We start from the raw sequence: 12,078 nt of genomic DNA on the forward strand, positions 1-12,078 counted from the left end.
ATGATTAAATGTAATAAATTTGAACTTACAAAATAATGTAACAGTCTGCTGTCATATGTTTTGTATGTTTTGCCTATTGGACTTTTTTTTCAGAACAAGCTTTCTTTAAAAGTTATATAATTCTTTGGCTCAAAGAAAAAACCTAGAAAATAATATTCCCCACTGACCTGTACTTTCCTGACCCAGCAAGCCTTCAGCAGATTTGTCTTGGACTAGAATTCAAGACACCTGGGTGCCAGTCCTGGCTCGGCTACTCAGTAGGTGGGTGACCTTGAGCAAACCCTTCGGCCTCTCTTAGTTCTTCTTAGCTGTCGTATGGGATACAGCGCCTTTCCTATCTACCCTGTGGGACTACTGTGAAAAGCAAATGAGGCAACAGGTATATAAATTTGTAATCTGTGAAAGCATGCACATGAAAGAACTTTTATTTTGATAGCTAGAAGTATCCTCTCACAGGTTAAATATTTCTGGTCCTCCCAGCAGAGAGACACGCCTGGGTATTTATTCAGTAGACCTTGAGTGCCTTTCTGGACCAAGCAGGGACTGGTGAGGCAGAATTGAATATGATGCAGTCCCCGTTCTCAAAGAACTCACAGTTTGATAGGAGAGGCAATTACAGTAAAACGTGAGAAATACAATATAATGGTTATAGACAAAGACTGGTGGGACTCACAGGAGTCAAAATGTCTGACTAGAGAAGGCATCACTGACAAGTGACACCTGGATCGAGTCTTCAAGAACATGTGAGAATTTACCAGGCAGAGAATTGATTGATTGCTGGGTGGAACCCAGGCAGTGCCCCAACTGTGGAGCAATTTCTCACCCCTCTTTCTTTATCAAGTCTTACCTCTGCTGTGAGATAGCAGACCATCAGAAACTTGCTCTCAGCTACCTATCCTATTGGAAAATGTTTGAAAAAGATGTTAATGACAGGTTAGGTGTGTGCTTCCCTCCAGAATAGATGCATTTGGGTCCAGAGGGTGAGATGGTTCTCTATACACAGAAATACCAATAATTTTAGCTAAATAGATTTACTTTTAGGGAAAGTACCTAAGTAATTTTTTTTGAACCTCACTCTTTTACTCAAGTTAGAGTGCAGTGCTATGATCACAGCTCACTGCAGCCTTGACCTCCCGGGCTCAGGCAATCCTTGCACCTCAGCCTCCAGAATAGGCGGAACTACAGGTGTGCCACCACACCTGGCTTTTTTTTTTTTTTTTAATAGAGACAGGGTCTCATCATGTTTCCCAGGCTGGTCTCAAACTCCTGGGCTCAAGTGATCCTCCTGCCTAGGCCTCCCAAAGTGCTGGGATTACAAGTGTTAGCCACCATGCCTGGCCAATACCTAAGTAATTTCTATGGCCACCAGCTGGTACCAGATCATTACAAACATTACTTTTCTTCATTATCACAACAACCTTGTTTTTTTCTTATTATAGGTGGCAGAACATAGGACGAGAATCACCACCCAGCCAGTTATACCAGAGCCAGGATTCAAACTCAAGCCATGATCTTGCATATCCATTGACAAACTGGTTCTCATAACCGCCCTGGGAAATGAGCAGGAAAGGAATGTTATCCCCACTTAAGATGGGGAATCCGGGCATGGAAAGCTCTGCTGGGGACTCCCCGCTGGGCTTCCTGACTCCTACCCTGACTGAGGTTGTTACCTTGCAATGGAGGCCAAAGTCCTGACAGGCAGTGGGAAAGATATTTTGGGGTAGGGCTGTCTCCCTGGTGCTTGTCAGATCTCATCTTGTGAAACAATTGGTTCAAGTTCACTGGGCCCGGGTGCGCAGCCTTCCCTGGCTGGAGCTGGGACCCTGCTGTTCTGAAAAGCTATATGGAAGGAGATTTCTTTCCTTCTCTGATTATCCTCACCACTAGGTGGGATGGAAGCTGTCTACCAGAGTCTGCTGCAGGTTAACCCTTCCCCTGCCCTCATTCAAGGACATGACAGGGATGTTCCAGGTAAATGTGCCCCCTTGGCTTGAGACAGCACTTGTGGTAATGGAATAGCTTCCTCTGCTATGGCCTGCTTGTGTTAGTTCACTGAGAATGGACTCCCTGTGGGTTCGTAGAGTGCAACAATTGAAGAGCTTGAATAATGGTTAACCAGGATGAAGTCACATCCGAATATGCGTCATCTCACCACCTCCTTTGCTGCAGTCCGAAAACCCCACTGAGTCTTTGTTCTTTTTCCATCCGTCTGTCTCTCTTGGTATCTGTCTCTCTCTTTCTCATCACCCCTTCAGGGTATTGATGCTTATTGATACTGGATTTTCTTTCTCACTCCAGTTTTTCCTGTCTCTATCCACCTGTCTTTCTCCCTCCAGCTCTCCCTCACTCTCTCTCCCTCCCCTTTTCCTCCCTTCTAGTTCCCCATTTTGCTGGTCTCATTGTAGACCTGCATTCATTTACGATTCATTATTCTTACTGAAGAGATCCTTTGATCTTGTCTGTTAAAAAGTAAGTGAGTTGCACTCTATACACCAAGAAAAAACAAAATCATCTTTATTTAACTTTTTTTCTGGCCATGGGCCTGTGGCTGGGGCAAAAATAGGTCTCCCTGTTTCTGGCACACACACCAGCCTCCCCAAGCTGCAAGCCAGCCCAGTGGGCAGACACAGCTGCGAGGCAGGAATACTGTTACCCAACTCAGGGTGGTGCCAGAGCTCCGAGTGCCCAGGCAGGCCTCCCCGCCAAGGCAGGGATCGCTCTGAGGCCAGAGGAGGCCCAGGGGACAGAGTCAAGGCTCCTGCTCACCTGGCCCTGGGGCTGTGGCTGGTGCTGGTTAGCCACTTCCTCCCCTTCCCCAGCAGGGCAGCAGGAGGGTTCCACTGGAGCCCAGCCCTGTCTCAGCTTGACCCCTATACCTGGTGACATCCCGCAGCCTGGGTCAAGCTGTCAGGTTAGCACGCAGCCCAGTTAAATGCACTGGGCTAACATCTGGACTTAGAGTTATGTAATGTTTTTACCTCATAATATTGTAACCTAGTAGAGGACATTTTATGGAGTCTTTAGAGGTGACCAAACTGAGGCTCATGGAGGTTGAGTTATCCAGTTAGTCAGGGATGAAGCTGGTGCTCAGGACTCTGGAATTCCTTGCCCAGATGTTCCCAAACCAGGTTGCATGGGCTGCTCCCCCAGGCCTGTTTCTTAGGGTAAGTGGTAACAAGCATCCCCATCATCTCCAGTTTGGAGAGCAGCCATGGGGCAGTAGTTTGCTGGGGGGAGGGTGGAGCTTGGACATGTAAGCTGGAGTGTCCCCTGGCATGAGTGTGAGGTCCTCTGCAGGACAGGATGTTGCTGGGGACAGGAAGTAAAGGCGGGTGGGATGGAGGCTGGGGGCTGGGGACCTGCTTTTCCTGAACCACCACATTCAGGCATGGAACTCCCAGGAACCGAATGTTCTGAATTTCAACCTGGCCTTCCAGGTCATAATGAATGTGTATTTGCAAAATTAGAAGGATAGAATGTACTTTACTTAATGATTGTTAACTCAATAATTTTGAAATATTAAGATGTGAATTGGGCTATCACTAGACTTAGGGGCTCTGAGCCTCACAGATATTAGAACTGGGCCTGTGAAGCACCTTTTCACCTGTTGATTGGCTATTTGGTTTCCTCTTATGTGACACACCCCACAGCTGCTGTCCCAATTCCCCTTCAGATCCTCTCCTCTGGGGCCCGGGAGCTCCTCCTGACCACTGTCCTAACCCCAGGCTGGCTCTGCTCTATCCCCTTCTCCATTCTGCTGCCAGAGACATTCCTAAACGGCTCAGAAATTTTCTAAGTATCCCACTAGCCATGAACTAGAACTCCAGCTCCCAGCCTGCCCTTCAAGGCGTTGGTTCCTTATGGAGCTAACTGTAAAGACCAAGTTGCTTTCTGCAGTGAGTTGGGGAGGCCAGGTGAGGATGCACAGGGAAGTCAACCGTGTGGCTAGACCTAGTCAACACTGTGGCTAGGCAAAGGCCAGGAAGCGCCACCAAGAAAGAGCAAGGAGAAGAGCAGGGTCAGGGCTTGTGGAGACTGGGGTACAGATGAGGGGCTCAGAGGTAGGGCCACCCTGTTACCTCCTCAGCTCTGTGCTCTACTCTCACAGAAGGACACACAGCCCTCTGCTGCTCTCTTTGCTTTTTTCCTTCTACTCTCAACACCAGCCAGCTACCTGTCTTTTTCTATGTCTCCACTTACAATCCCCCAGGGGAAGGATCTATTGATCCAATTAGTGCCAATATTCCTTTGGGCCGAATGTTCTTGCCTGGCCGCAAAGGAAAACAGAGGTACCCAGGCTGACCTAATCAACTGAGAGCTAGGAGGTGGGGTCACGTGGTTTCTGAAGCTGGTCTTCTTGTTCTGGGGTGAATGGGCAGGTGTTCCAAGACCTGGCCTACCCCGTTCATCAGCCAGGCTCCAAGGCACCGTCCCCAGAGGTCCAGCTGCTGAGCCCACACAGTCTTTGCTTATGCCATTCCTCTCACCAGGTACACTTAGCTTTCAAGCTCAGATAAGTGCTGCCCCTCCTTCCCTTTCCCTCCCAGGAAGCCTTCCCTAAACCCCTCCAGCTAGAATGAACCCCTCACTCTGGGCCCGTGTTGCTAGTGCTTATAACCTTTTGTTAGCACTGATTTCCTTCTTTCTGTTATTATTATTATTGAGATGTAATCTCCCTCTGTTGCCCAGGCTGGAGTGCAGTGGCTCGATCTCAGCTCACTGCAACCTCCACCTCCCAGGTTCAGGTAATTCTCCTGCTTCAGCCTCCCAAGTAGCTGGGATTACAGGTACCCACCACTACGCCTGACTAATCTTTGAATTTTTAGTAGAGATGGGGTTTCACCGTTTTGGTCGGGCTAGTCTTGAATTCCTGACCTCATGTGATCCACCCGCCTCAGCCTCCTGAAAGTGCTGGGATTACAGGCGTGAACCACTGCACAGGGCCCCTTCTTTCTGTTATTATTGTGAGTTGTTACTGATCTATCTCCTTAATTGGGCTGTAAACATCATGGAAGTGGAGACTATTTTATACATCTTTGTATAGAGAGTCCAAGTGCCTAATACAGAGCCCTGCATAATAGGCTTTCAGTTCAATATTTTGTTAGATAAATGAATAAATGATCTGGAAAAATCAGCACAACAGATGATCCCAAAATTAATTCTCTATTTTCTTAGATGCATCTTTTAAATGTTTTAAACACTAATAACGGATTTTTAAATGCTGGGGGCTCAAATACTGCCCCTCCACCCCCATTTCACCCTGCACCAGCTCCTCCTCAGTCAGGTCTAGGGTCCTGCCTCTGTCCCAGTGGCCACCTGGCTGTGGGGGCAGGGTGGGCCACCCAGGAACCTGTGTGGTCAGGGCTCTGCATGGAGGGTCTGCCAGGGCAGCCTGGGATGTGGCTGGGCTGCTGCTGTGGACTGGGTGGGGTGGGAGGCGTGGACAGCTCCAGCGTGCTCTCCCTCACGTCCTTGAAGTTTGCCCATCCTCTGACTCAGCTCCAGCATCTCAATTCGTGGATGAATGCCCTGGTCCTAGACAGAGAGCCAATTCAGCCCAGCAGGGTTTCTGGAGGGCTCCCAGGAGGGGGAGTCCCGGAACATGGCCCGGGACAGTGAAGTTGGGGTGACGGCCAGTTCACTCCAGCTGCAGCCTAGGACACATTCCTCTCCATTCCCACCCCCACCTCACATTCTGCTGGAGCCCTCCATAGTGCCCAGCTCTACGGGTAAACAGGAGACTCAAATATACCTTGGGGGCTCAGCTGCTAGTGTTCTGCAGCTCCTCTGCCCTGTTCCTCTGTTTCCCTCCATCTGGCTTTGTGTGTGTGCATATGTGTGCTTGTGTGTGTAAGGGTGTACACTCCTGATGGCAGATGAAGCCTCCATTCAGGGTTCCTACAAGCCCCCAGGACTGCCATACACAGAGCTGCAGAGGGAGTTCAGGAGTTCAGCCTCCTATTGAGCTGAAAAAGGCCCCAAAGGCAGGCTTAAACTTTTTTTTTTTTTTTTTTTGAGATGGAGTCTCACTCTGTCACCCAGGCTGGAGTGCAGTGGCACGATCTCAGCGCACTGCAACCTCTGCCTCTCAGGTTCAAGCAATTCTCCTGCCTCAGCCTCCCAAGTAGCTGGAACTACAGGCTCCCACCACCATGCCAGGCTAATTTATTTTTTGTATTTTTAGTAGAGATGGGGTTTCACTATGTTGGCCAGGCTGGTCTTGAACTCCTGACCTTGTGATCTGCCCTCCTTGGCCTCCCAAAGTGCTGGGATTGCAACTTAAATTTTTTTTTTTTTTTTTTTGAGACAGGGTCTCACTCTGTCTCCCAGACTGGAAAGTGCAATCATGGCTTACTGCAGCTTCAACCTCCTGGGCTTAGGTGATCCCCTCACCTCAGCCTCTGAGTAGCTGGGACTACAGGCACACACCATCATGCCCAGATAATTTTTTGTATTTGTTGTAGACACAGGGTTTCACCATGTTGTCCAGGCTGGTTTCAAACTCCTGAACTCAAGTGATCCGCCCACCTCAGCCTCCCAAAGTGGTGGGATTATAGGTGTGTGCCACTACATCTGGCCTATTTTTTCTATATAATTGATATTATATTAAAATGATATCATTTGATAAACATACAATAAAATGTACATGTCAATTGATAATGTTTGACAATTTGGGTGCAACTATCATCCAAGTTATAGAATAGTTCATCTCCCCAAAATGTCCCTCACACCCCTTTCTACTCAACCCTCTCCGTTTTCAATCAGTATCTGATTTTTATATATATTTATATATATATATATACATATATATATGTATACCTAAACCAGTATTAAGGTTTAAAATTTAAAAAAGATCTTCTTCAGACAAGACATCACATACTATGCCACTTAAGTATAGAGACAGCCACATGGTACTCAGTCCTCCTGAAGCTAAGGGGTCCTGACCTCCTCCCACCTTTCTTCCAGGTATCCCTACTCCAGGGCTACACCAGGGACTGCATGACAAGACAGTGGCATTTATAAAAGGTCCAGGGAAAGAGCCCAGGACTTGAAGTCGGAGGCTGGGCAGGGGTCCTGGGTTTGCCCTGTGTGGTTGGGAAAAGGCACTGGATCTTTCCAAGGCTCAGGTTCCTTAGCTATACACTGTGGAGGTGATGGTCACCCCCAGGGATGCTAGGAGGATTAAAGCCCATTTTGCAGCCAACTTTATTCTTCTGTAGATGGAGGCAAGGCATCAATCTATTAATTACATAACACAAATAGCTAACATACACTGAACTCTCTTTGGGTGCCAGGTACTAGGCTACCAACTTCCTTTTAACCCCCAAGTAAGGGAATGGGGACTATTGTTTATCCCCATTCTACAAATGAGAAAATGGGCTCAGAGGAATTAAAAGATTTGCCTCAGTTCAAACAGCACACCATAGAGTTAGTGTTTAACCCTAGGGAGCCACTGCAAACTCATGCTCTTGTGTACTGTACCAGTCTTCCTCCCAGATGAATACGGTAATAGATAAAAATAAACTTTAGGCCGGGCACAGTGGCTCATACCTGTAATCCCAGCACTTTGAGAGGCTAAGGCAGGAGGATGGCTTGAGTCCAGGAGTTCAAGACCAGCCTGGGCAATATAGCAAGACCTTATCTCTACAAAAAATTTAAAAAATTAGCTGAATGTGGTGTTGCATGACTGTGGTCCCAGCTAGTTGGGAGGCTGAGGCAGGAGGATCACTTGGGCCTAGGGGCTCAAGGTTAGAGTGAGACCCTAGATGGCACCACTGCACTCTAGCCTGGGCAACAGAGCAAGACCCCTATCTCAAAGAAAAAAAGAATGAACTATAGCTGACAGCAGTTTGGAAACAACGATGTGCTGTGCATATGCTACTTGTAACTATTTCTACCAAAAGGTTTTGAGACCCAGAGAAGTGGATGACACCCGCAGGTCCCACCCTCTGAGCTGGTCTGTCCTAGTACATTTCAGAATCATGGCTGCTGCCTCCTCTTCTTGGATCCACGGAGTATTGCATCTCAGCTTCTGAGACAGAAAGTCCTTTATATCTAACTTCAGTCTCACCTGCAGTGGCATAGCCAGCACCGAGCTCACTCCTGGCCTTATACAAACTAATGCGCATGGGTGCCAATCAGATTTTGTACCCCAGAATGCTCAGACCTGATAGGGGCTGGTCTCCATAGTGCCCCTCCCAATCCTGAGCTGCCTCATCTGCTCTTCTCAGCTCCCGTGGTGACCGCTGTGTCTGGCTCCTTTGTCTGCGAATTCTCCAGCCACCATAGACTTAGCCCTCATGTCTTTGGGGTATTTCTGCAAGTCTTAGGGAGAAATGGGTATGGGGAGAAAGGAGAGCAGGGAGCAGGGAGAAATGTCCTGCCTTTGAGAGAGAAGGCCTTCTAGCTTGTCACTTGACCTTGGTTGGCCAGGGCCTGTCTTCATCCCCTGCCAATGGAGATAATGAGACCTACCTCCCAGGGTGAACACCTCTGAGCTCAGAGGCTCAGATAATACCAAAATGCGAGAAGGACTTGGCAGAGAAGAAAGACTTGAAATTCAGCCCCAGGGATTGCTTGAAGAACACCACGTAGTGGAGAAGGGCTCTGATTCACCTAAGGGAGCTCAGGGCCAAGGGCCTGGCTTGCTGACCACTGGTCTGGGCTTCTCATGGACACGTGCTGTGCCAAAGCATGAGGCAGAAGGACAGACAACCCACCCCAACCTCAAAACAAAGGGCCCCCTGCCATGCTGTGTGTGGGTTGGTCTGTGGGCCTCTATATCTGCACACTAGTCTGTGCTATAGGGTGCAAGTGGAGGTCTCTCTGTGATTACAGGGGAGGCTATGTTGAACCATGCAGCTCTCTGGGCATCTCTGTGTGTCTGCTGTGTGTCTGTGTGTCCCACTTCATGTCTCATGTGCATCTCTCTGTCTGTGTAGGTTGAAACATCTGTTTTTTATAAAGCAGTCTAAGATTTGTTATCTGTTAAATGGAAATGAGGCATCTTAGTCTCTAAGCATCTGGAAGCATGGTGATTGTTTTGTGAAGTGAGGGTGGGATGTCCACAAAGGCTTCAAAATCATTCCTCAATGCAAAAGTCTTAGCCTGGTATTCAAGGTTCTCTGCAGCCTAACACACACAGGTGTCCCCAGCACAGTTGTGCATTCTTAGTGGGCACAGGCAGGAGAGGCTGCCACTTCCTGGCCGTGTGACTTGAGGCTTGTCATTTCTCCTCTGCCCCTTATTCTGTCAAATGTAAAATGAGCTATGAAAAGTTGATTGCAGAGTGTAAAGTGTGGTGTGTACACAAAGGATGTTTCCTGGAGCCCCTCCTGGACTTTGGGTCCTCTATGCCTTTCCTCCTGTTGCTCCTGTGTCCTCCCTGCTTGAGCACCCTCCCCTGTTTCTCTGAATACTCAGGATCTGCCCAGCTTTGGCACTCAGCTCCCCTCTGCCTGCACTTCTCCTCACCCCACACCCTTCCCCAGGTCCCCTCTGTCCTCATGATTTCATGAGGGTTTCCGTGTGTGTGTGTGTGTGTGTGTGTGTGTGTGCGCGTGTGTGTATCGTGGGTATCTCTGTGTATGCATTTGGGTCTACCCTCTAGATATACCTTCAATTCATTCAGCAAATATTTCTTGAACACCTACCAGACATGGTGCTAACTGCTAGGAATTCAGTGTGAACAGGGCAGATGCAGGGCCATCACTAGCCCATTGGGCATCTGTGCAAATTAGAAACAGGTACCGTTGGGTAGATGCAGATCTGTGGCTGAATGGCTTGATGAGCAAATGATGCTTTTGTGCAGAGAAAAAGAGTGTTTTCCTCCTAGCAGGCACAGCCCCAAATTAAGATGCAAAGCTTGGGAAATAGAGGTGGGGGTGAACTTTATCCTCCGTTCACCCCACCCCGGCTAAGCCAGGCACCTTTGTGCATTGAACAAACATACATCTAAAAAAGCAGCCCAGGAAATCTCTTACCTACCCTTGGCAGGTAGACCTCCAGCTTGGGGTGTGTCTGTGCACCTGTGTGCTGACTGTGTCTATTTCAGCCTATGTGAGTCTGTGAGGTCTGTTGCACCTCTGTGTGCACATGTCCCTCCCTCTTGTGCTCCTCTTTGGACCTGTGTCTGTGGGGGTGGGGACTTACATGTAGTATAAGTGTATATGTGTGCACCTCCAGCTCTGACAGCCATTTCCTCAGCAGCCTGCAGATCTGTTCTTGGATGGCCACCTCATCTTCCCTAGTTGTTCCGTGTTCCCCAACTGAACCCCATGTTCTCTGAAATCTTTCTTGCTGTCTCCCGCCAACCCCCCACCACCACACACTCCACAGCCTCAGGAACTCATACAGCAGAGGGGAGTCGAGCCACTGGTACAGCCAGACCAAAGCTGGGTCCCGTCCTCCTGCAACCTGTTTCCACTTCTTCATTCTTTCTAAGAAAAGACTGAACCCCACGTGGGGCAGTGTGGAACAGGGAAAAGGACATAGCCATAACACAGAGGGCCTAGGTTCCTTCTGCCTCGGAGTCTCTGGGAGACCCTGGCTAGTTCCCTAACCTCTGCTGACCTCCTACCCATGTGGAACAGGATAAACTTCTTTGTTTTTTGCTAAATAAGTTTTGCCCAGTCTTGCCTCTGCACCTTTGCTCAGGCTGTTACCCTTGGGGCATGCTCTTCCATCCGTCAAGACTGAGGGCCACCTCTCCTATAAATAGCAGCAGCAGCCCCCTTCTATAAACACTCACTGCACCCAGGCGTGTGTGGAAACATGGATTGCACATATTGCTGTACACATGCCTGTTATACACACAATCTCAATCCTCACAACGATGTCATGAAATGGGTATTATTATTATTGTCCTAGTTTTAGAGGCAAGGAAACCAAGGCCCAGAAATGTTCAAGCACTTGCCCAAGGTCATGGTGCCTCACTAGCCTTCAAGGTAGTTGGGATTGGACTCTGCCTGACCCTTGGGCTCCTGCACTCACATCCTTGGGTCAGCCCCTGACCCCAGGGCTCACAATCAGCACTCCCGCTCTGAACACCTGTGGCCCTCTGGGCACAGCTGTGATCTGAACTCATAACCCCAAGCCATTGTCTTAAAAATCTATACTAAAATGAAAATTTTGTAACATTGTAGCTACCTCCCTGATATGGTTTGTCTCTGTGTCCCCACCAAATCTCATCTCAAATTATAATCCCCAACTATTAAGGGAAGGACCTGGTGGGAGGTGATTGTATCATGGGGGTAGATTTCCTCCATGCTGATCTTGTGATTGTGAGTCCTCACAAGATCTGATGGTTTAAAAGTGCTTGGCAGTCCCCATCCACCCTGCCTCCTGCCACCATGTAAGACATGCCTTGCTTCCACTTGACCTTCTGCCATGATTGTTTAAGTTTCCTGAGGCCTCCTAAGCCATGTGGAACTGTGAGTCAATTAAACCTTTTTTTTTATAAACTTCCCAGTCTCAGGTAGTTCTTTACAGCAGTATGAAAATGGACTAATACACTCCCTGGCTAAATTGTATGTTTCTGAAAGTAAGTACTATGTCTTTCAGCCATTTGTTTCTTCAGTTCCTTATGCCTAGAAGGTGGTGGTGGTGATGATGGTGATATGGTAATGGTGGTGAGGATGATGATCATGATGGTAGTGATGGTGGTGATGATGGTGATGATGAATCATCCTTCTGCCCACAGCTACTTCCCAGTCTGTCTCCCGGGCCACGAGGTCACGGTGTGACCTAGAAGAGCAGTGATTCTTGTAGAGAATTTCCTGATTTGGGAGGAGAAACTGTGGGCAGCTGTGGCCCTCTGGCCTGGCTATGCCAAAGAAGCTTCTGCACCCTTGAGGACAGAAGTAGAGAGGGCTGCTCCCTCCCTCCTCCTGAAGCCCCAGGTCTTTGCCAGCCCTCCTACTCTGACTCCCCCAGGGCACTAGGCTTTACAGGCCTCGATGGATAGGAAGTAGGTAGGAGGAGGACCTCCTGCTTCTTCTGTGGCTAGAGTATAAAGCTTTGTTGTCCTTGCAGTATGTTCAGAAACCCCATTCCCACAGAGGCCTGGACCAGGTGGAG

General features: G+C 48.6%; 2 annotated features.

Annotated features, from left to right (window-relative positions):
- Window positions 1,301-2,285: an enhancer, noted in NCBI's record as "OCT4-NANOG-H3K27ac-H3K4me1 hESC enhancer chr2:46456039-46457023 (GRCh37/hg19 assembly coordinates)". NCBI's record gives its function as "activates a minimal SCP1, AML or CMV promoter by ChIP-STARR-seq in naive H9 embryonic stem cells {active_cell/tissue: H9 hESC(naive)}" and the evidence as "EXISTENCE:reporter gene assay evidence [ECO:0000049][PMID:30033119]".
- Window positions 2,861-2,950: an enhancer, noted in NCBI's record as "active region_15700". NCBI's record gives its function as "activates an Ori minimal core promoter by ATAC-STARR-seq in GM12878 lymphoblastoid cells {active_cell/tissue: GM12878}" and the evidence as "EXISTENCE:reporter gene assay evidence [ECO:0000049][PMID:35858748]".

This window comes from Homo sapiens, chromosome 2, assembly GCF_000001405.40.
Source record: "Homo sapiens chromosome 2, GRCh38.p14 Primary Assembly".
Classification (NCBI taxonomy): Eukaryota; Metazoa; Chordata; class Mammalia; order Primates; family Hominidae; genus Homo; species Homo sapiens.